The sequence below is a fragment of the Homo sapiens genome, chromosome 7 (assembly GCF_000001405.40).
Source record: "Homo sapiens chromosome 7, GRCh38.p14 Primary Assembly".
NCBI classification, from domain to species: domain Eukaryota; kingdom Metazoa; phylum Chordata; class Mammalia; order Primates; family Hominidae; genus Homo; species Homo sapiens.
Genome location: NC_000007.14, coordinates 15,765,710 through 15,790,831, shown reverse-complemented (window position 1 = coordinate 15,790,831; position 25,122 = coordinate 15,765,710). Strand labels below are relative to the sequence as shown.

The following is a 25,122-nucleotide window of genomic DNA, read 5'->3' as shown; positions in this document are numbered from 1 at the left end:
CAAACAAATATAGTTTGACTTCTTTCATTCCAATATGGATGCCCTTTAATTCTTTCTCTTTTCTGATTGCTCTAGCTAGGATTTCCAGTACTATGTTGAATAACAGGAATGAAATTAGGCATCCTTGTTGCATTGCAGATCTTAGAGGAAAGGGTTTCAGTTTTTTTCCGATTCAGTATGATACTAGCTGTGGGTCTGTTGTATACAGCTTTTATTATGTTGAGTTATGTTCCTTCTATTCCCAGTTTTTTGAGGGTTTTTATTGTGAAGCAATGTTAAATTTTATCACGAGTTTTCAGAATCAAATGATAAGATCATGTGGTTTTTATCGTTCATTCTGCTACTGTGATGTATCACATTGATTTGCTTATGTTGAACCATCCTTGCTTCCCAGGGATAAACTGCACTTTGTAATGATGAATAATCTTTCAATATATTGCTAAATTTAATTTGCCGGTGTTTTGTTGAGGATTTTGTATCAATATTCATAAGAGATTTTGTCCTATAATTTTCTTTTTGATGTATCTTTATCTGGTTTTGGTATCAGGGTAATATTAGCCTCATAGAATGGGTTTGGAAATGTTTCCTTCTCCTCTGTTTTTTTGAAATAGTTTGAGTAGAGTTGGTATTAGTATTAGTTCTTCCTTAAATGTTTGGTAGAATTCAGCAATGAAGTCACTGGGTCCTGAGATTTTTTTTTCCCTGGGAGAATTTTTATTATGGCTTTGATCTCATGACCTGTTATTGGTATGTTCAAGTTTTGAATTTATTTGTGGTTCAATCTTGGTAGATTTATGCCTGGGAATTTACCCAGTTCTAGAGTTTTCAATTAATTGGCATATAGTTGCTTATAATGGCCGCTAATGATCCTTTGAATTTTGGTGGTATCAGTTATAATTTCTCATTTTTTATCTTTGATTTTATTTATTTAGGTATTTCTTTTTTTCCTTAATCTGGCTAAAGGTTTCACAATTGTTTATCTTTTCAAAATACCAACTTTTTGGTTCATTGTTCTTTTGTATTGTTTTCTTCATTTCAAGTTCATTTATTTTTGCTCTGATATTTATTATTTATTTTTTTCTACTAATTTTGGGTGGGTTTGCGCTTGCCTTTTTTTAATTCTTTAAAATACATAGTTAGATTGTTTATTTGAAGTTTTTCTTCTTTTTTTGATCTAGGCACTTGGAGCTATAAACTTCTCTCTTAGGTTCTGCTTTTGCTGTGTCCCATAGGTTTTGGTATGTTGTGTTTCCATTATTATTTGTTTCCAAAAATTTTTAATTTCCTTCTTAATTTCTTCATGGACCCAGTGGTCATTCAGGAGCATATTATTTAATTTCCATGTGTTTGTATAGTTTCCAAAATTTCTCTTGTTATTTATTTTTAGTTTTATTCCATTGTTGTCGGAGAAGATTCTTGATATTATTTTAATTCTTTTGGATGTTTTAAGACTTGTTTTTTGACCTAACATATGATTTATCCTTGAGAATGGTCCATGTGCTGAGGAAAAAAATGTGTATTCTGCAATCATTAGATAAAATGTTCTGCAAAGATCCATCAGGCCCATTTGTTCTATAGTGCAGATTATGTCCCATGTTTCTTTGTTGATTTTCTGTCTGAATGGTCTGTCTAATGCTGAAAGCAGGTTGTTAAACTCTCCAGTTGTTATGTATTGGAGTCTATCGCTCTCCTTAGCTTTAATAATATTTGCTTTATAAATCTGGATGCTCCAGTGTTCAGTAGATATATATTTAACCCTTTTCCCATCTGCCCCAAGAATACTTGTCAGCAAGAAAACATGCGGCTGCCATGTTTACCCGAAGATAACTTGGACATGAAATTACCTCGCTTTTATTATTATTTTTGTATTGCTCTAGTATATCAACATTGGACACAGACATCATTTTATTTATAGCATTCTGTTTTTAGTAGCATGATATGGTTTGGCTTTGTGTCCCCATCCAAATCTCATCTTGAGTTGTTATCCCTGTATTCCCCATCTGTTGAGGGAAGGACCCAGTGGGAGGCAATTGGATCATGGGGGCAGTTTCCTCCATGCTGTTCTGGTGAAAGTGAGTGAGTCCTCATGAGCTCTGATGGTGTTATAAATGTCTGGCATTTCCCCTGCTCACTCTTCTCTCTCCTGCTGCCATATGAAGAAGCCCTTGCTTCCCTTTCACCTTCTGCCATGACTGTAAGTCTCCTGAGACCTCCCAATACATGTGGAGCTGTGAGTCAATTAAACCTCTTTCCTTTATAAATTACTCAGTTTCAGGTATTTCTTTATAGCAGTGTGAGAATGAAATAATACATAGTGGTATTTCCATTTACAAAATATAGTAATTCTTGATTGCTGAAAATGTCAGACCCTGGAAAATGTGACATTTCATGTGACGTTAGCATCATTCTTGAACAGTTGTTGACAAAGATTCATTTGATCAATCTGATTTTTCCGAAAGGAATGATTCTGATGATTCTGATGTTAGTTCTGTTTAGAAATAACTCCAAAAGCAGTTTTTATATTTTATTTTTACATTGAAAATCAGTCAGATTTGCTTCAGCCTCGAAGAGCGTGTTTATGTAAAATTACATGAGTGCTGGCAATGAGCTGCGTTTTTTTTTTCTAAATAGGAATAGGATTAAAATTGTTATATCTTCTTCCTTAATCAACTCTTTTATCATTATATAGTGACCTTCTTTGTATCTTCTTATAGTCTTTGTCTTGAAATCTATTTTGTCTGACATAATTATAGCTACTCCTACTCTATTTTGGTTTCCATTGGGATGAAATATCTTCTTCCATTTATTTATTTTCAGTCTTTGTGTGTTTCTATAGGTCAAGTATGTTTCTTGTAGGCCCGAGATCATTGGGTCTTGGTGGTGGTTGCTGTTTAATCCATTCAGCCACTCTATGTCTTTTGACTGGACAGTTACTTCATTTACGTCCAATGTAATTATTGAGAAGTAGGACCTACTCCTGCCATTTTGTTATTTGTTTTCTGGTTGTTTTGTGGTCTTCTCTTCCTTCTTTCTTCCCTTCCTGTCTTTTTTTTAGTGAAGGTGATTTTCTCTGGTGGTATTTCATTTCTTGCTTTTTACATTTTGTGTATCCATTGTATGGTTTTTGACTTGAGGATACCATGAGGCTTGCAAATACTATCCTATAACCCATTATCTTAAGCTGATAATGACTTAACATTGATTGCATAATCAAATAAACAAACTAAGAAAAAACAAAATTAATGGAAATTCTACACCTTAACTTCATCTCCCTGCTTTTTAACCTTTTGTTGTTTCTATTTATATCTTGTTATACTGTTTATGTCTCAGAAAGTTGTTTTAGTTTTTATTTCTTGTTGCCTTATTATTTATTTACTTTTTATATTATATATTATATTATTTAATGATAATATATTATATATTATATTATTTAATGATAATATATTATATATTATATTATTTAATGATAATATATTATATATTATATATAATATAATTATTTATTTATTCATTATATATAATATAATATATAATATATTATTTATTTATTTATTTATTTATTTTTATTTATTTTTTAGCCTTTCTATTTAAGATAAGAACAGTTTACACCCCATAGCTACAGTATTGTAGTATTCTAAATTTTTCTGTGTGCTTACTATTAGCAGTGAATTTTGTACCTTCAGATGATTTCTTATTGCTCATTAATGTCCTTTTCTTTCTATCTGAAGTACACCATGTAGCATTTCTTATAGGGCAGGTCTGGTGTTAATAAAACTCTTAAGCTTTTGTTTTCCTGAGAAAGTCTTTAATTCTCCTTCATGTTTGAAGAATATTTTCAACAGATATATTATTCTAGGGTCAAAAAAATTTTTTTTGGCTAGGCGCAGTGGCTCACACCTCTAATCCCAGCACTTTGGGAGGCCAAAGCTGGTGAATCACCTGAGGTCAGGAATTCGAGACCAGCCTGACCAACATGGTGTAACTCCACCTCTACTAGAAATACAAAAAATTAGCTGGACATGTTTGTAGGTGCCTGTAATCCTAGCTACTCAGTAGGCTGAGGCAGGAGAATCGCTTGAACCCAGGAGGCAGAGGTTGCAGTGAGCCAAGAATGTGCCATTTGTACTCCAGCCTGGGCAACAAGAGTGAATCTTGCCTCAAAAAAAAAAAAAGTTTCCCAGCACTTTAAATATGTCATACTACTCTCTCCTGGCCTGGTGTTTTGCACTGAAAAGTCTGCTGCCAGCGGTATTGAGGTTCCATTGTATATTATCTGTCCCTTTTTCTTGCTCCTTTTAGGATACTTTCTTCACCTTTGAGTGTTTGATTATTAGATGTCTTGAGGTAATCGTGTTTGGTTTAAATCTACTGGGTGTTCTATCATCTTCATGTATATGGATATTGATATCTTTCTCTAGGTTTGGAAAGTTCATGGTTATTATCCCTTTGAAAAATTGTTCTACCCCTATCTTTCTCTCTACATCTTTAAGGCCAGTAAGTCTTAGATTTGCCCTTTGGAGGCTATTTTCTAGATCCTATAGATATGCTTCATTGTCTTTACTTCTTTTTTCTTTTGTCTCCTCTGACTATGTATTTTCAAAAAAACCTATCTTCAAGCTCACTAATGATTTTTTCTACTTGATTAATTGTGCTATAAAAGACTCTGATGCATTCTTCAGTATCTCAATTGCATGTTTTCACTCCAGAATTTCTACTTGATTCTTTTTAACAATTTCAATTTCTTTGTTAAATGTATTATGAATTCCTCCTCTGTATTATCATGAATGTCTTTGAGTTTCCTCAAAACAGCTATTTTGTATTCACTGTCTGGAAGGTCACATATCTCTGTTTCTCCATGATTAATCCCTGGTGCCTTATTTAGTTCATTTGGTTAGGTAATGTTTTCCTGGATAATCCTGATGCTTGTGGATGTTCATCTTTGTCTTGGCTTTGAAGAGTTAGGATATTTTGTAGTCTTTGCTGTCTGGGCTTATTTGTAGTCATCCTTCTTGGTAAGGCTTTCAGGTATTCCAAAGGACTTGGGTGCTGTGATGTAAACTTTATCTGCATTAGGAGGCATCCCAAACCCAATAACACTATGGTTCTTTCAGACTTGTGGAGGTACTGCTTGATGGTCTTTGATAAGTTCTGGAAGAATTCTCTGGATTACCAGGCAGAGTCTCTGAGTGTCTTCCCTTACTTTCTCCCAAACAAATGGATTCTCTCTCTCTCTGTTCTGAGCCACCTGGAGATAAGGGTGGAGTGATACAAGTACCCCTGTGGCCACCATCACTGGGACTGTGCTGGGTCAGACCTGAAGCCAGCACAGCACTGACTCTCACCCAAGGCCCACTGTAACCACTATTTGGCTAGCTCCTATGTTCTCTCAAGGCCCTGGGGCTCTACAATCAGCAGGGGGTGAAGCCAGCCAGGCTAGTGTCCTTCCCTTTAGGGTGGCAAGTTCCCTCTGGCCCCAGATGGGTCCAGAGGTGCCATCTGGGAGCTCGGGACTGGAGTCAAAAACCTTAGAAGTCTACCTAGAGTTCTCTTTTACTGCAGCTGAGCTGGCACTCAAATCATGAGTCACAGCTCTTCTCAGACTTCCCTCCCTTTTCCACAGGCAGAAAAGGATTCCATGGCCACCACCATCACAGGTCCATGGAGACTACTTCCAGGGTACCACCGATGTTCCCTTATGTTTCAAGGGCTCTTTAGGCAGCTTGAGTTGAATACTGTGTGGCCTCAGACTCACTCTCAGTGAAGTGGGGATGCCCTCTGTCTCAGGAGAGGTCCAGAAATGCTGTCCAAGAGGGAAGTCCTGGAATCGTGAACCCCAGGAGCCTGTTTGATGTGCTATCCTCCTATAGCTAAGCTAGTACCTAAGGTGCAAGACAAAGTCCCCTTTACTTTTTCCCATGCTTTTTTCAAGCAGAATTAGTCTCGCTCCATAGCTACCCCAGGTGGGAATGTGCTGAATCTCACCTGAAGTCAGCAAGCCTCAGAGGCTCACCCAAGGCCCATGGCGTACTACTACCTGGGTATTGCTGCTGAGTATTTAGGACCTAAGGGCTCTGTAGTCATCATGTGATAGGTCCTGCCAGGACTGAGTTCTTCCCTTCAAGGCAGTGGGTTCCCTTCTGGCTCAAGCTGTGTCTAGAAATGTCATCTGGGAGCTAAGGGGGCCTGGAAAGGGGAACTCCTACTGGTTCCCTATCCTATTGTGGCTGAGCTGGTATCTAAGAAGGAAGAGAAAGTCCTCTTTATTCTTCCCTCTCTTCTCCCAAGCAGAAGGAAGGGGTCATTTTTGGAGCTGTGAGCTGTGACACCTAGGGTTGAGGAAGGTGTGGTGCAAGCACTCCCTTAGCCACTCTGGCTGGTGTCTCAGTAGGGTCACAAGCCTCCCAAGTTCACTGGCTCTGAGCAGTAAGACTCACCTACAAGTTGCAGTCCTTGTGGCCTAGACAGCCTTTTAAGATTATTTAGAGCCCCAGAACACTTTAGCTTGTGGTGGTCAGGCTTGCTGAAACTCAAATTTTAACTGCTTGCAGGGTGATTCCCCTCTGGCTAGGGCTGTTTTAAATATGTGTGTCAGCTGCGTTCAGCCTGGTTTTGCTTTCTTCTGTGACAGGAGGATAAATTCAATGAAGTGTCTCACAATTGCTGCACTCTCCCTCCCCCAAGGGTACAGAAACACTCTCTGTACTACATGGCCACTGCTGGGGGATGGGGAAGAAGTAGTGCCAGCTATTCAAGACTCAGTAATATAAAGTTAAAGCAAGTACTATGAGTGCTCACTGTTTTTTGCTTCTTATGAAGGTGCTTTTGTTGTGTAGCTAGCTGTTAAATTGGTGTCCTTGCCAGGGGAACAACCAGTGGAGCCTTCTATTCAGCCTTCTTGCTCCTCTCCTCCCTAAGCTCACTTTTTTTTTTTTTTTAACTCCTTGAGTTACCTCTCTTACTGAAGAGCCTAAAAACTTTAAGTACAGCTCAAGCTAATGTTTTCTGTTATATGCCATAATTGGTTTTAAAAATTAATAAATATGTAATTTAAAAGTATTTTGCCTTTTAAAATATATGAAGTAAATCATGTATTTTACTAGACTTAATATTTTACATCTTCTGGTGATCCATGGAAACAGTCATAAAATATTTTCTTTAAAGCACAATTTTAAGAGGTGTGAATCCCTATGTATCTTTTCAACTTTTTAAACTAGAGTGAGAATCTTTTTCTTATTTATTTTTTTAAATTCATGCCCCTATTAAAGTCAACAAATAAACATTGAATAGAAACTATGTACTCAGCACTCTGCTCATAGGAAAATTATCAGCAATAACAAAAATTATGGCTTTCACTAGGCATACAGAATTTTGTTGGAGGGAAAATAAAAACATAAATAGACAACAGTATAAAACTGCATGCCAAACTGAGTGGAAGGAAGCAGATATAGTATATTATTTCAGGTAGTATTAGAGAAATTTTGCAGAACAATTGAGGTGATAGAGGACAGTGGATAGAAAAATGCCATATTTTAAAAGGAATAATTAAAGCATACAGTTTTGTAAGTTTGACAAAAAGTACTGACTAAATTCTTGTGCAGATTATTAAAATTTTTTGATTATTTAGAATAATTTTAATTGCTAAGCATTGGCAAGGCTCATGTTAAAAATAGGGCAATGTCTCTATTCTCTGTTGGGTGAGTATCTTTAGAGTAGAACATTACTGATATTCATATTTGTAACTTTTCTTTGTGCTTCAGAAGTGCCAAACTCTATGCATAGCACATTACACATAAAACCCTTATAATACCTTCTCACAACAATTCTGTAATTTTGGAACTCTGTTATTTCTATTTTACATATAAGGAACTAAGGCCTAGAGTGAGTAACTACTTTGCTTATATTCAGGCATCGGAAAAGCAGTAAATTTGTTTTCAAAGCACAATAATCTGACTCATAAACCTGTAATCCAACTTCTAAATTATAATATACAAAAGATATTTCACAGACTTCTGCTTCTAGTTATGTCAAAGTAACCAGAAATATGTATCATACTCATGTTGCTGATTAGTTCAACTACTGTAAAAAAGCTGAATAAAATGCAAAACACAAAAACAGAAACAGCCAGTTGAAGGGATTAGAGAGCAACCAATGAAACCTAGGAGAGAAGAAGATGCGTCAAAATAAGGCATACATTTGTCACTGCAATTACACATTGCAACATTTGATAATTCAAAGCACTGAGCGTAGAGGTTACCAGAAAAATAAGGTTAAAGATTTTTGTGATCAATCTGTGTTTGGGAGGTAAAATATTGCAATTTAAGACCATGGAGCCAGCCAAGATTTGAGGGGCTGACGTCCCAGATAATAAAGAAAATCACAGAGAAATGGACCTAACATTCTGTGTTCAATTTCCCCTTGAGGGATTTCCTAACTCCTAAACTACTCTTGTATGGGCCATATTTAAAATATTTTTTTAAAAAATAGAGATTAGCTGATAATGAAACCACCTTTGCAAAAATTGTATCTGTGAGAAAATTATGGCAGTGAAAGGATTCTGATTTAACCCTTTCCTTATCTCACCTTCTCCTTAATTATTCCTGGGCTTTCAGGCCAAGCTGACTTTGAGAGGCTTTTAGGTTACAGTTTAAATGATAATAGCCATTCGCCAAAAGTCAACTGCCTTTCTAAAGCTAATGGAAGGCCATCAAGCTAGGGAGAGGAGCTAATGTGTAGACTAGTCATTAGATACACAACTTTTTTGCATGTTTGACACTCATGGTGGTATGTGGACACAGTGACTCCATCTGTACTTGCTGACTCCCATTGCCGTGGCCCCACCCAGAAACAACTATACTCAAGAGAACAACTTATGATTTTGTCTCCATCCTACCTATCAGCAGCAAGTGCCCTTTGTAAAACCGCTAACTACATGCCTTCAAGGAGACTGATTTGAGGTGACATGGCTGGCTTCATGTCTATTAAATGCTTTTATTTACTGCAATGTTGTTGTTTTTCTTTGTGGGAGGTAGAACTCCTCAGATGGTTACAATAAGGAGCTAAAAAGTGAAACATACATTTTATCTGTCCCACAATGTTAGAGCTAGAAAAAATAGAATTTAGTGTTTATGAAGAAGAAAGAACACGTATAAATTGAGGCCCTGCAAAAAGATCTTTCCTACATTTAAGAACATACCAGAAATAATCCAGATGGCTCAATGACATTGAAATGTAAACTAAAATTATTTCAAATTTTAATTGAAATAACCTAACTCACGCATATTATAATTCATTGCCAGAAAAAAATTAAGTCTCTGACACATAAAGAGTCCACACATTTTTATATAGAATGTTTAGCATGCAACAAAAAAATTACCAGGCATGTTAGAAAATAGAACCAAATTATTGAAAACCAGGACAACAACGACAACAACGAAAACAAAAACAAAAAATAGAAACAGTAACACAGGTAATTTAGATAATGAATTTATCAAACGTAAATTTTAAAATATGATTAAAATGTTCAAAAATAGGTACAAATGGAGAATTTCATTATACAAGAGAAATCTATAAAATAGAATCAAGTGAAAATTTGACAACTGAAAACTCCAATAATTAGAATGAGGCACTAAGTAATAGAAACTCTACACAGAATAATGCAATAAAAGTCACATCTCATTATGGGTTAGAAAAACTTTTCAAAACCAGGATCTAAGAGATCTTTTTCAAAGCAGACAGATAAAACAATCATATTACTATCATAGGTGCAGTAGTAAGACTGAGAGTCACTGTTCAGCTGACAAAAGATAGTAGAATGACATCTTTAAAATGCTAAAACAGTAGTAGCAACCAAGCAGTCTATAAGCAAAAGTAATCTTTGCAAACAAAGGCAAAATACATAGATTTTTTTTAGACAAATATGCGTTGGCAAGAGAGTACATAAAGCTAGTATTTCTGAGAATGTGGCAAACATGCTAATTTGAAATATAGTTTAATAAATGGTAAATCTGGCAATCTCTGGGGTAACCACAAAAATGAGGAATGCATAACAAACAGAGGGGAAATAAAATAAGAACATATATAGATTAAAGAGAAATAAAGAGGAGAGAAAAGAACAAAAGTACTAGTAAAATTTAAAAGCTAGAGTAAAATGCTGGATTGAAATACCAATATATCAACAAAACTTTAAATGTAAATTAACTAGGCTGGGGGCAGTGGTTCATGTCTGTAATCTCAGTGCTTCAGGAGACTGAGGTGGGAGGATTGCATGAGCACAGGAGTTTGAGATCAGCCTGAGCAACATGGCAAAACCCTGTCTCTACAGAAACAAAACAAAACAAAACAAACCCACAAAAATTAGCCAGGCATGTTGACACATTCCTGTAGTCCCAGCTACTCAGGAAGCTGAGGCAGGAGGATCACTGGAGTGCAGGAAACGGAGGCTGCAGTGAGCTGAGATTGTGCCACTGCACTTCAGCCTGGGCGACAGAGTAAGATTCTGTCACAAATAAAATAATAATAATAATTGTAAATTAATTAAATCTTCCAGCTGAAACTCAACATTGTCAGACTGTATAAAACAACTGAAGTCAACTACTATATGCTGTCTGAGATACAGTCCTTGAATGTTTAAAAGTAAAATTATTGGGCCAGGCATGGTGGCTTACTCCTCTAATCCCAGCACTTTGGGAGGCCAAAGCAGGTGGATCACTGGAGGTCAGGAGTTCAAGACCATCCTGACCAACATGGTGAAACCTCATCTCTACTAAAAAAATACAAAATTAGCCAGGCGTTGTGGTAGGTGCCTGTAATCCCAGCTACTTAGGAGGCTGAGGAAGGAGAATCACTTGAACCCGGGAGGTGGAGGTTGCAGTGGGCCGAGATCGTGCCATTGCACTCCAGCCTGGGCAACAAGAGTGAAAATCCATCTCAAAAAAAAAAAAAAAAAGTAAAATTACTGGACATGTACTACGTGTACTCTAAACAAAATAAAACTAGTGTGGCTCTACTGATATCTGATAAAACAACTTTAAAGTAGGAGATATTACTAGACACAGAGACAGCAATTTTCTGATGAAGTTATCAATCCAACAAGAAGATATGCAATTCTAAATTCTGCACAATTTTAAAAATAAATTATGCACATTTATTTTGGTAGATTCTTGATATCTGCTTTTAGAAACTGATAGAAAAATGCAGGTAAAAATTACAATGTTAAGGAAGATTAAGAACATGATTTTCCAATAGTCAGGGTTCTTCAGTTGTGCTACAACCTTACTGTATGTACAGAATCCATTTGATCCCATCTGCATAATTCCTGTGGGGTGATGGGGGAGTTTGCATAATGCCTAAGCAAAATTGCTAATAATCTGCCCACTGTGCTGTGAGTAAAAGATAACCTTGTCCCTGGCTGAGGAGTCTCACGTCTTCTGCCAGCAACTATCAAACAGTAACAGGTTATAGGGTGTCTAATTTATTAACTTACAAGTAAGTAAAATTCCAGGTTACCTCATCACATTTCATTATTGACTTAATTATTATGTTTATTACTTACTACTTTAAAATTTATTATGTTGATCACTTATAAATATTGCTTGTTATTTTCCCACTAAAATGTAACTTCCTTGAAAGTGCAGAACCATATCTTATTCCTGGATTTATGCCCAGCCACTAGATTAAGTTTGGGGCATAATAAAACTCTCAATAAGTATTTATTGAATAAATAAATGAATAATAAACAAAATTCCTCACAAAATAGTAAGCACCTAAAATTAGATACATTTAAGTTCCATGCTGGGAATAAAAAGCTATATTACATGATTTCTATGTTCCCTTCTATTAAAATTCTATACTTCTATGATTGCTATAAGCAGCCAGTAATGTAATACATTATAAAAAGAGGATTTAAAAAATATGTATGAGAAATACCTAGTAATTCCACTTCCAAATAACTGAGGAGCAAGATGGTATAATTACTTTTCATGAATTAATATTTAGAAATGGGTTTTTAGATACCGTATTTCATTAATGTCATGTGTGCACTTGTGTGTTCACTGGTGGAATTGTAAGAATAAAGTAAAATGATTTCTTACATCTGGATTGAGATATCTGATAGACTGGTGATATGTTTTAAAGGTGAGTATAATTTTTTATTTTGATATGTACTTTTTGACACTTGAGAGAGAAATATGAAAATTCATTTTTAAACTTAGTGAATGGTTGGCAGAGAAGCAAGATTGTTGCAGATATTTTACCTCCAGGGAGTAGGTGGGTTTGACAGCTGGAAGGAAGAGGTTAGAGCTCATCGCTAGGGTAGAGTGGGAGGAAATTAAAACTCAGAGGTGGGTCAGAACATCTTTAAGAAGGAGGGGGATTTTGGCAAGTGACTAGATAAAGTTCCAGCTGGGTTGGTTAGTGAGTGAAGTGGTGCAGAATAATGGGCTGTGCCTGGGAGGAAGTTCAGTTCAGTCATTCATTGTGTGGAGTTAGCTTAGGTAAAAAGAAACAATTCTAAAGGCTTTTTTCTGTGATGGGAAGTGTAGGGGCTACGAAGACACAACTTTTATTTCCTGTAAGTTTTTTTTTCCTAATTACCTAGAAAGCCATGTTTATGTTTCCTAAAACATTGTAGTCAGAGTCCAACCATCTCTAGTACCTAAACCAGATAAATATTTGATGTTAAACTCATTGTTTCAGACATCAGTTTGACAAGTCATAGCTCTATGTAAAAGACAGTGAAAGAATGAATTCCTTTTCTTTTTTGCCTTCTCTTGAATCATTAGCTGTCATAATTTTAATTCTAAATTTTTACAGAGAGCTAAAAGAACATAATTATTTTCTTAGAGCCAACATACTCCAAATTTCCTCAGAAACAGTAAACTGCCATGACATACCAAGAAAAAAACAAAAATGGAAATTTATATTATATGATTTCTTATAGTAATAGTCTTATTTTTATGTTACAGCAAGATTTTACTATATCCTTTTTAAAAAAATGGAATTTTTGATTACATGAACAGATCACAGTGACAGACAATAAAAAGATTGGTCACCAAACGTCATGTTAATAAAATATTTCTGGCTTGATTCCCAATTAAATCTATTTAAAAAGAAGAAAAACTATTTTAAAATTGAAAATTATTCTCAATAGTATTGGAAAATGAAAACAAATGCCTTTAATTCCTGCCTGACCTGACACAAACAGAAGCAACTATGCAGGACATGACTGAAAAGGTCATACACATAATACAGCATCCTGCGCTTGTAGATGAGAGAGGACTTTCTGCAAGATACAAAGCAGATATAATCAGATTGACAAGAAACTTCAGCATAACGTGGCATAAAATACTTTAAGACAGCCTATCTATAGAGGAAGATAAAGCAAAGTAATTAAATGTAAGGAGCAGCCTGATACCCCTGGGATCTGCTGAGATGATTAATTGTAAACTTTGCAGGAATTACTGGCTGACTAGACCCTCTCCTGTGTCTTAGATTGGCCAAGTTAGAGGAAACAAAGTTATATGGACAATGTCCGAGGTAGGTGGCAACTCTTTAAAAGGAGATTGAGCTTCCATATGCAGAAGACAAACTACAGTTACACCTCATCCAAGTATATTATATTCATTTTCCATAATCAACCATGCAAATTCCTATAATCAGAAACAGTTCTAATAAAACTTGAACAGGTGTTTTCAAATACAACAATGATCACAGGATAATAAATCACTAAATACAGAAAAAAAAATCCCATAATCATCATAACATAGAAGGAAATTTCCATAATAAAAATTGGCATCATACATGAATACACATACGACAAAGTCGTAAGACAAATGAATAAAGAAAGAACTACATATTGAAATGCCATAGTAAAATGCAGAACTCTGAGGATAAAGAGTAAAGTTAAATCTTCTAAAGAGACAAAAATGAGTTACTACAATAGAACAAGAATTATATTAGAATAAAGCTTCCTTGTCAGCAGCAGATGCTAGAGCACACAAAGTAGTATTTAACAAATTCAGGAAATATGATTGTGAGTTTAAATCTTAGTCTTCTATCTAGTCAAACCATCAATAAATGAAAAGGGCAAAATAAAGACATCATAAAACATATAAATACTTATAAATTTTCCCAAACACAGACATTCCAAAAACGAACAAAAAAGTTGTTAAATTTTTTTAGGGAATTATTTCTAGCAAAATTCAAAATAGGTCCAATAAACAAGGCTAAAAGTGGTAATAGACATATGGTAAGGAAAAACACTAAATTTTAACTGTATGTAGCTGTTAGTTTCTAATGTAAAATATAATAACACGTGGAAATAAAATCCAGATTAATGGAACCTGAGGAAGTGAAGAGAAATGCAGAAGTGGAGAAATAAAAATATGCAAAATTTTGAGAAAGAGAAAATTGGTTTGAGGGAGAGGATATTGCTTAATCCTAGACTTTGGTAGAATAATTTAAGGGCAGATTTACAGAATAAAAAGCATAATGTTCATTAGCACACAAGATATAGATGGAAGCCCTCATAATAACTTGAAAAAAAATAAGGAAAAATAAAACAACAAAAGGAAGAATGGACTAAAATCTATCAAGAGCACAGTAAATAAGAAATACAATATACAATTACAGAAATATTTGCAAACATATAAATAGTTAAAACTTACATTGGTGAAATTAAACCTATTAAAAATTTCAGATTCACAAATTTTCTGAATATTATCCTAAGAATATATACTTACACAACATCTACCTACTGATACTATAAAGTTTTGAAATAAGAAGTAAATTTGCAGGTGAGTACAAAAGAAAGTAGGCAGAGCAATAAAAATACATTTATTTCATTGGGAAATTATTAAATGGAAAAAGGGAAATTATTTCTGATAAAAGATGTACCTCACCAAGATGTCCAAGGAATTAACCTAATATAGTTTTGAAAAATTCAAGGAGATTTAACAAATAAAAATGTCTGGGGAAATGTAAAGCAAATGACAAACATCATTCTACAAATACATATACATGTATACACACATACACATACACACTCTGTATTCTTAAAATAAAACTCTGCTTTAGAAAACGTGAGGAATTCACCAATTAGTGAGGCACTAAATCATAGACCAAATAAATCTCCATAGATTTTTAAAGTCAGGAACCATGCAGCCTACATTATTTTTCTTTAATCTCAAATTATCTACTCATTAATCTTAAAATGTTATTTTATAAATTGGGATAAAGAAGAAATCAAAAGAAAAATAAGAAACTCTTTGGCAATGACCAAAGATGGACTACTATGTATTAAAATCTTTGGGAAGTGACTTAAATAATTCTCATAACAAAATGTGTTTACCTATGAATGAGTTTATTAAAAAACGCAAAAATGTAGGCCAGGCAAGGTGGCTCAACCTGTTATCCCAAAACTTCAGGAGGCCAAGGCAGGAGGATTACTTGAGCCCAGGAATTTGAGACTAACCAGGGCAACATATTGAGACACCATCTCTGCAAAAATAAAAAAATTATCTGGATGTGGTGGTGCATGCCTGTAGTTCTAGCTACTCTATGGGGCTGAGGTGGAAGGATAGCTTGAGCCCAGGAGGTTGAGGCTGCAATGAGCCATGATCTTGCCACTGCATCCCAGATTGGGTAACAGAGCAAGACTGTCTCAAAAAAAAAAAAAAAGGACAAAAAACTCTCAAAACAACAACAACAACAAAAGCAAATGTAAAAATGAGTTATCCAAGTTTCATATTGATGCAGGAGTTTTTCTTGACCCCTTCATTGGACTTGCGACAGGGGTGCCCCATCTACTCAGTCCATCATACTCAACCTCTTGCAGGAGGCAGCACATGAGCAATTGAGTGCAGGATGCAGCTGACTGCTTTGGGCACCTGTAGGAGCAGGCTTTGTATGGGCTTTACTGCGGTGACCAGGTGGGGGGGTCTGTGACACCCGAAGCCCCAGAGGGCATGTTACAATGCTCTCTAGCTCTGCCATCCATGAACAGTGCTATGTTATCTGCTCAGTGGGCCCCTTGCCTCCTCACATGTGGCGGCTGCCCTCCACCAGCGAGGGCAAAGGGCCAGTGTGACAGCCTTTTCTGGGCACATGCACTCAGTGAGTTCTGAGCTCTTGTCCAGCATCCAAGAAGAATGAGGTTGCACAGACACTTGAAGGATGGTGGAGATGGAGAATTTTATTTAGTGATGAAAATGGCTCTCAGTGGAGAGAAAAGCTGGAGAGGGGACGGGAATGGGCAGATAATTTTCCCTGAAGTCTGGCTGGCTCTAGCTGGCTCTTCAAATGAAGGCTCTCCTCTGAAGTCCAGCCATCCCTCTGAAGTCAAGTCACCTCTCTCTAGTCAAGCCAGGTTTCTCTCCCTACTGGCTGAGTCTGGGGTCTTTATAGGCACAGGGTGGGGGCCAGGGTAGGCATAGGTAGTTTTGGAAAATGCAACATTTGATTGGTAAAAAGACATTATTCAGAAAGAACCAATTGGGAGAGAGTGGGCAAACAGAAATAGAAGTTCTCACTTTGGGCGGTGGGTTTCCGGCTTTTCAGCTCGAAGGTAGGGTTATGCCAGGGACTTGCCCTTGTCTCCCCAGAATTTCTTTGCCTCCTGCCTCTATCAATATTGAGAAAGTAAAATAAAAAACATATAAAGCAGAAGAAAGGAATAAATAAGAACACAATTTTCTAGAATACTAAATAGACACATGGTGGCAAGACTAATAACAAAATAAAATAAAAGAAAAGCAGCACTAAGTACTATTAGAAATGAGAAGTTAAGCATAATTACAGATATTAAGTGATATTAAATTTTTAAAAAATGATGAAATGTGGTATGGATTTAATTGTGTACCCCAAAATTAATATTTTAATGTCCAAACCTCAGTACCTAATCTAATGTGACCTTATTTGGAGATATAGGTTCTTTTCAGAGATAATCAAGGTAAAAATGAGGTGATTAGACTTAAATCTAATATGGCTGGTATCCATACAAAAAGAGGAAATTAGGACAGAAACAGACACATGTAAAAGGAAAATGATATGAAGAGACACATGGAGAAGATTGCAATCTACATACAAGGAAAGAGGCCTACAATAGACTCTTTCCTTAGAGCCTTCAGAAGAAATCAGTCCTGCCACCATCTTGATTTTGGACTTCTAGACTCCAGAACTAGGAGTTTATAAATTTTTGTTATTTAAGCCATTTCATTTATGATACTTTGTTATGACAACCCTAGCAAATGAATATACCCTGTTTGTATGCCAATATATTTGAAAATATATGCAAAATAGATATCTGTGAATACTTAAGTGTCATCTAAATCATCCTTGTAATTGGCTCAGTAATTAGAGAAGAAATAGGGTAGAAAATTTCAACATACCAACAGCCATTGAAGAAATACAAGACTGCTGAAAGTCAATATATTAAAGACACCCAGATCAGATAATTTTATGAGTTCTATGATAAGATAATTTTATGAATGAGTTCTATTCAAATAGATTATTCTAATCTTTTATACACTGTTTTAAAGAGTACAAATAGATGTAAATAGATGTAAAGTTTTCCTGTTCATTTTACAATACTAGCATAATCTTGAAACAAACCAAAAACATCTTCTTGGTTCACAGCAAAAGATACAGAGATTTCCCATATACCTCCTGCCCCTCCTTATGCATAGCCTCCTTCATTATCAATATTCCCAGCCATAGTGATACATATGTTACAGAGGATGAGCTTACTGTGATTCATCATTACACCCAAAGTTCAGTTTACATTAGGGTTCATTCTTGGTGTTGCACATTCAATGACTTTGTTTGTCAGCTTTATGGAGATACAATTGACAAATAAAAATGGTATACATTTAAGGTATACAATGTGATGTTTTTATATGTGCATACATTGTGAAATGATTTCTACAATCGAGCAAAATAACATATCCATCATTTCACTAGTTGCCATAGATTTTGTGGTAAGAACATTTAAGATCTACTCCCTTAGCAAATTTCAAGTACACAGTACAGTATTATTAACTATAGTCAACATATTATATATTAGATTTCCAAAATTTATTCATGACACATAACTGAAATTCTGTACTGTTTGCCCAACATCTCCCAATTGCCCTTTCTCCCCACCTCCTCCTGACAATCAGCATTCTACCCTATGCTTTTATGAGTTCAACTTTTTTAGATTAAACTTATAAGTAAGATCATGAAGTATTTTCTTTTTTGTGACTGGCTTATTTCACATTGCATAATGTTCTATAGGTTCATCCATATTGTCACATATGGCAGGATTTCCTTCTTTTTTTAAGGCTCAGTAATATCAGATTTTGTGTGTGTGTGTATATATATATACATATATATATATATATATAATATTAAAATCTTCAGTCTTAAATTAATTCCAAATAGATTTAATCAGCTCCAGTTGATTCCATATTTTGGCTATTGTGAATAATGCTGTAATGAATATGGAGTGCAAACATCTTTTTGAGATGCTGATTTAATTTCCTTTGGATATTTACCCAGAAGAGGAATGACTAGCTTATATGGTACTTTTATTTTTAAATTTTTTAGGAACTTCTATACTTTCCATAGTGACTGTGCCAATTCACATTCCCACCAGCAGTGTACAAGGGTTCCCTAGTCTTCATATCCTCCCCAATATATGCTATCTTTTTAAAAATAGTAGTAGCCATTTTACCAGGTGTAAGGTGATAACTCATTGTGGTTTGGATTTGCATTTCCCTGATGCTTAGTGATGCTGAACATTTCTTCATATACCTGTTGGCCATTTGGATATCTTCTCTTGAGAAATGTCTACTGAGGTTCTTCACTCATTTTTTAACGAGCTATTGGGGAGGGTTTTTTGCGATTGAGTTGTTTGAGTTCACTATATATTTTGGATATTCATTCCTTATCAGACATGTGGTTTACAAATATTTTTTCTCTCATCTTTTAGGTTGTCTGTTTACTCTGTTGATTATATCCTTTGTAGTGCAGAGCTTTTTGGTTGATGCAATCCCATTTGTCTATTTTTTGCTTTTGTTGCTTGTGGTTTTGGGGTCTTATCCAAAAAAGTAATTACCCAGACCAATGTCATGAAGCTTTCTCCCTACATTTTCTTCCAGTAATTTGAACAGTTTCAGCCATTACTTTTAAGTCTTCAAACCATTTTGAGTTGATTTTTTTTAATATTGTGTGAGATAAGGGTCTTATTTCATTCTTCTGCATATGGATATCCAGATTTTCTAACACTATTTATGGAAGAGACTTTTTTCCCCCATTGTGTGTTATTAATACCCTTGACAAAAATTAGTTGACTTTTTCAGTTTGGGCTTATTTCTGGGCTCTCTATTCTTTTCCATTGGTCTATGTACTTGCTTTAATGCCGATACTATACTATTTTTATTTCTGTAGCTTTGTAGTTTATTTTGAATTCAGATGCCTCCAGATTTGTTCTTCTCAAGGTTTCTTTAGGTATTATGGATGCTTTATGATTCCACATGAATTGTAGGATTGTTTTTCCTATATCTGCAAAATAATTTCATTGGGATTTTGATGGCAACTGTATTAAGTCTAGATCACTTTGAGTAGTATGAACATTTTAACAATAAGAATCTTTCCAATCCAGAAATATGAGATATCCTTTCATTTATTTGTGTCTTTTAAAATTTCTTTATAATCAATTTAACCACTTTATGCCTTTTGATTGAAGAATTTAGGCCAGGCATGGTCACGCCTGTAATCCCAGCACTTTGGGAGGCTGAGACAAGCAGATCACTTGAGGTCAGGAGTTCAAGACCAGCCTGGCCAACATGGTGAAAGCCCTTCTCTACTAAAACTACAAAAATTAGCTGGTCATGGTGGCAGCACATGTAATCCCAGCTACTCGGGAGGCTGAGGCAGGAGAATTGTTTGAACCCAGGAGGCGGAGGTTGCAGTGAGCCCAGATCACACCACTGTACTCCAGCCTGGGTGACAAGAGGAAGATTCAATCTCAAAAAAAAAAAAAAAATTAAAAAAGGAAGAATAACATTACATTTAAAATAATTCTTCACAGATGAGTACCTTCAATTGCCATTTTGTTATTTTTTTCTGAATGTTTTGAAGTTTCTTTTCCTTCCTTCCTTCTTTCTTTTTCTTTCTTTCTTTCCTTTCTTTTTCTTTCTTTCTTGTTTTCTTTCTTCTTTCTCCCTTTATTTTCTTTCTTCTTTCTCTCTTTTTGTCTTCCTGTATGACTTCATGACTTTTGTAGTTGTATGTTGTGATTTTTTCTCTTTATCTTTTGTATAGCTGATACATATTTTTTTGTGTGTGTTTACCATAAGGTGTTCACGAAGCATCTTGTAACAGTCTATTTTAATAACAACTTAACTTGACACAAAAATTCTACAATTTATCATCTCTTCCCCCAAGATTTTATGTTATTTGTGTCAATTTACATCTTTTTATATTTTGTATCAACTAACAAAGTATTGTATCTGTAGTTGGTTTTATTACTTTTGTCTTTTAAGTTTAAAATAGAGTTAAAATTGATTTACACACCACCATTACACAGTATCAGATATTGTAAATTTGACTGTATTCCAACCTTTACAGTGAGTTTTATACTTTCATGTAGTTAATTAGTGTCCTTTTTCAACTTTGATAATTTCCTTCAACTCTTCTTTTAAGGCAGGTCTAGTGGTCGTGAACTCCTCCACTTTTACTTGTCTGGAATAGCCTGTATCTCTTCCTCATTTTTGAAGAAAATCTTGGCTAGATATACTACTTTTGTTTGGCAGTTTTATCCTTTCAGCACTGTGAATAAGCCATCTCACTTTCTCCTACTCTTCAGTTTCTACTGAGCAGTCCTCTGATGGCCATTTTAAGATTTTCTTGCAGTCAACAAGGTTCTTTTCACTTTTTTTTTTCTGCTTCCAAAATTCTCTCTTCCTTTGACTTTTGAAAATTTCATTATAATGTATCTAACTGAAAATTTCTTTACATTTAATCTAAATACTAATTTCCCTTTCCAGATTTGGAAAATTTTCTATTATTATTTATTTAAATAAGTCTTCTGCCCTTTTGTCTTTCTCTCTTACTTCTTAAAACTCCCACAATGAGAATATTCGTTTGATGGTGCCCCATAAGTTTATAGTCTTTTTCATTCTTTTTCATTCTTTTTTCTTTTTGTTTCTATATGTGGGTAGTTGCAAAGAACATGTCTGGCAGCTCACTGATTCTTCTACTTGAGTGAATCTCTATGGAATTTTTTACTTTAATCATTGTGTGCTTCAGCTCCAGAATTTGTTTCATTCTTTTTTATGGTTTCTCTCTCTTTGTTCAGCTTCTCATTTTGTTCATGTTTTGTGTTCCTAATTTTTTTGTTTATATATCTATATGTATTCTCTTGTAGCTCACTGAGCTGTTTTAAAATGATTATTTTGAATCCTTTGTCAGATATTTTTTAGGTTCAGTTATTGGTGCTTTATTTTGTTTCTTTGGTGGTGTTATGTTTTCCTGATTATTTGTGATCCTTGTGCTCTTGCACTGGTTCTGTGCATTTGAAGTAGGCACATTTTCCAGTCTTTACAGACTGGATTTAGCAGGAAAAGCCCTTATCAGGCAGCCTGTCCAGAGACTGCTGCTGAAGTCTTCAGGTAGACTGGCCTGGTGCTTGGGTCAGTGAGCAGGTTTCTCTGGAGCTTGGGTCTCCAGGGTTGAGCCAGGTCCTGGGTCCACTCCATGGGCCTGGATTTTGGGTCAATGTAGGTGGTCCTGGTGTCTACATCTGTGGGTATTGGGCTAGATCCTGGGTCTACAGGGGACGGCCTTTCACTAGGTTTCATATGGTGGGTGATATGGCTTGGCTCTGTGTCTCCATCCATATCTCATCTTGAATGGTAATACCCATAATCCCTATGTGTCAAGGGAGGTACCTGGTGGGAAGTAAATGGATCGTGGGGCCAGTTTCCCCCATGCTGTTTTCATGATAGTGAATGAGTTCTTATGAAATCTGAAGGTTTTATAAGTATTTGACAGTTCGTCCTTCACATGCTCTCTCACATGCCACCATATAAGACATTCCTGCTTCCCCTTCTGCCATGATTTTAAGTATCCCAAAGCCTCCCTAAGCCATGCGGAATTGTGAGTCAATTAAAACTCTTTCTTTTATAAATTACCCAGTTTTGGGCAGTTCTTTAGAGCAGTGTAAAAATGGACTAATACAGTGGGTCTGACTACTGAATGGCTAGCCTGAAGCCTGGGTCCATCGTGGGAGACCTGGCAATGGAATAAGCTTTGAGCTTGAGTCTGCAATCACCAGCCTGGAATCAGAGTGAGCTTAGCACCAGATCCATGGAAACAAGCCTGATCCTGTGTCCATGGGGGGGCCAGTCTGGGTTCCTATTAGGTGAGCTTATAGCCTTGGACCATGGGGGAAGGTTACAGGGTCTTGCTTCCATAAAGGCTGGCCTGGAATCTGAGACTGTAGGGGCAGGATGTGTAGCCTAGATCCATGGTGGCTGGCAAGTGCCAAAGTTTACGGAGACAGGCCTGGATCATGGGTTTGCTAGTCTAGGGCCGTCATCAGCCTGGTGCTGAGATTGGCCTGGAGCCTGGAGCCATGAGGGCTGGTCTGGTGCTGCAGTGTGTCTGGAACCTGGGTGTGCTGGGCAGTCCTGGAGCCTGGGGCCATAGGGGTGAGCTCAGAGCCTGGGGACAAATCACAAGGAGGACGATTGCTTGATTGTATGGTAAGAGTATGTTTAGTTTTGTATGAAATTACCAAACCATCTCCCAAAGTGGCTGTACCATTTTGTATGACCCTTAGTAATGACTAAGACTTCCTATTATAATTTGTTTATAATCTCTGTTTTTTACAGAAATTGTCTTCTATATTAATTCATTTACTTATTCTAATTCTGTTGCCCCTTAATGGGATGTCTTATTATTCTTTTCCTAGGACAAAAAATAATAACTAGCTTTAGTTACAAGAAGCATCTTTAGTAAATATAACTTGACCAAATAAAACATTCAATGTAACTACCCTGCAGAGACTATATAAAAAGTTCTGGTAAAACAAAATATAAAAATAAAAATAACCTAAAATATACAAGTAAAACATACAGAGGCATTTAAAAGTAGTTTAAAATAATGTAAGTAGTAGTAACATAAGTAGTTTGAAAATGTATTGAAATATGCTCAAATTAATATCAACAGAAAGGCAAATAAAAAAGCAAGAAAATATTATGTGTTATCCATAATATTTTAAAAATTTGATTTGAAGGATAACATTGCATCTTATTACAGTTATTGGAAAATGGGGATCTCATATGGTTTCATTGAAATTGTAAATTGGTCATTTGTCATACACTACAAAATAAATATTTGTAGAACACATAAGAGAATAAAAAATATAGAGTCACTGTTTTCAAAAATTTTTGCTACTGGTAATATATATTGCAGAACTAGTGGCCTCGTTGTGTTATGTATTGTATAAATATTATACAACACGTGTGTCTTCATGAATCACTTCTGTAACTTGAACAACATGTTTAAATGAGTAGCTAATGATTACAATCTTATACCCAAATATGCACACTTTACCAACTGGACCAGTGAGTGTCTTAATTTTAGGAGGTGAGTGAAAAAAATTTTTAAGTATAAAACATTATTTTGCCATTGGAGATATTTTGTGTGTGTGTGTGTGTGTGTGTGTGCTGGTGAGAACTGGCAGCTTTTTAATATCAAATTTTCTGATAGATTTATATATTAACATATAATTTTACATTAAAAATAAAATAAAATATTTTCTTAATGAAAATTTCCCCTTGTGAAGATCAATTATAGATTTTAAGAAGAGGCCTAAATCTCATTCTTTATAAGAAGTATCTAATATTATCTGAATAGAGATTTAATTATATGAGCCCCTACCTTCTCTGTCTTTGTCTCTGTCTCTTTCTCTCTCTCTCTCTCAGATACATATTCTCTCTCTCTCTTTGTCTCTCTCTCTCTATCTCAGATACTTATTCTCTCTCTCTCTTTTTCTCAAATACATATTCTCTCTCTATCCCTCCTGTGAGATATAGAAAATGAAAAAGAACACTGAAGATTTCCCTATCGTTCTTCTAAATCAAATTTTTTTAACTCAACATGGCAGTGCACAGTTTGAAAGTTCCTTGAAAGCCTGCTGGACACATTCATTTCAGTCTCTTGAAGGTGATGTGCTTAACTTAAATAGTGTGGGAAGTTGTTCCATGATGATGCTAACAATATAGATTTATTAGTAAATTGTTTACTAATAGAGACAATATTTTGATCATAATTACAAATAAACACTTTGTGTTTCAAAAAATTCACAATTAGCTTATATAAATTAGAGGAAAGTAGAAAGGTCTAGCAAACATCTAATATTCAATTGGACATTTCCTTTGCTTCTTATTGGTGAAATAAAAGTAATCCAATGGATTAATAACATGCACATATTTAAGTAATAAAATGACATTGTTCTGAATATATGGTATCTTTACTAAGATGAAAGACATGATTATATCTTTTCAGTTATCTAAACAATTCATAACTGCTCAGTTTTGTTATTCAGAGTTGGCTTCATAGCTAAAATAATTTCTGAAATCTGCTTTCTGAGATTAGCAGTGCCCTCTCCTCTAATTTGAACAAAAAAATAATTGGAAAGGCACATGTATCAGCTTCCAGTTTATACAAGTTCATTTATTTGAAATCCCTTGAGCTCCTCCAATTAGAAAACAAGTTTTTGAGTTAATATCCTTCAATTGTTAGAAACTTGCGTCACTGCGAGAGCACAGTGAAACGTAAAGGTCCCAGCACGCTGGCAGTGGATTGTGAGGGGATGTGATTGTTCCACATTTAGACTGGAAAGGGTTAGGAACTCTGCTTCCTAATGTGCTTAATGAATGAAAGGAAAATTGGACCCCTGAGCTAGAGTCAATGACCTAAGAGAGTGAAAAATGTTCACAGGTTAACAAGGGCAACTGTTCTTTGCCATAATTCCCAGCGGAGGTGAATGACAAAGGGGCCAATGAACCTCTGTCTTGATATTATCTATTAATCAGTTTTATTCCAAGGAAAAATAACTTAGCATAGTTCTGGAAG

At 35.4% G+C, this 25,122-nt stretch overlaps 1 long non-coding RNA gene across 1 annotated transcript in view, besides 1 other annotated feature; it reads left to right on the top strand.

Moving 5' to 3' along the window:
• The window catches only part of LOC105375167 (uncharacterized), a 67,988-nt gene that overhangs the window by 12,330 nt on the left and 30,536 nt on the right, over positions 1-25,122 (top strand). The gene's annotated exons all lie outside the window — the stretch shown is intronic.
• Positions 8,330-9,076: an enhancer, noted in NCBI's record as "OCT4-NANOG hESC enhancer chr7:15821381-15822127 (GRCh37/hg19 assembly coordinates)". NCBI's record gives its function as "activates a minimal SCP1, AML or CMV promoter by ChIP-STARR-seq in naive H9 embryonic stem cells {active_cell/tissue: H9 hESC(naive)}" and the evidence as "EXISTENCE:reporter gene assay evidence [ECO:0000049][PMID:30033119]".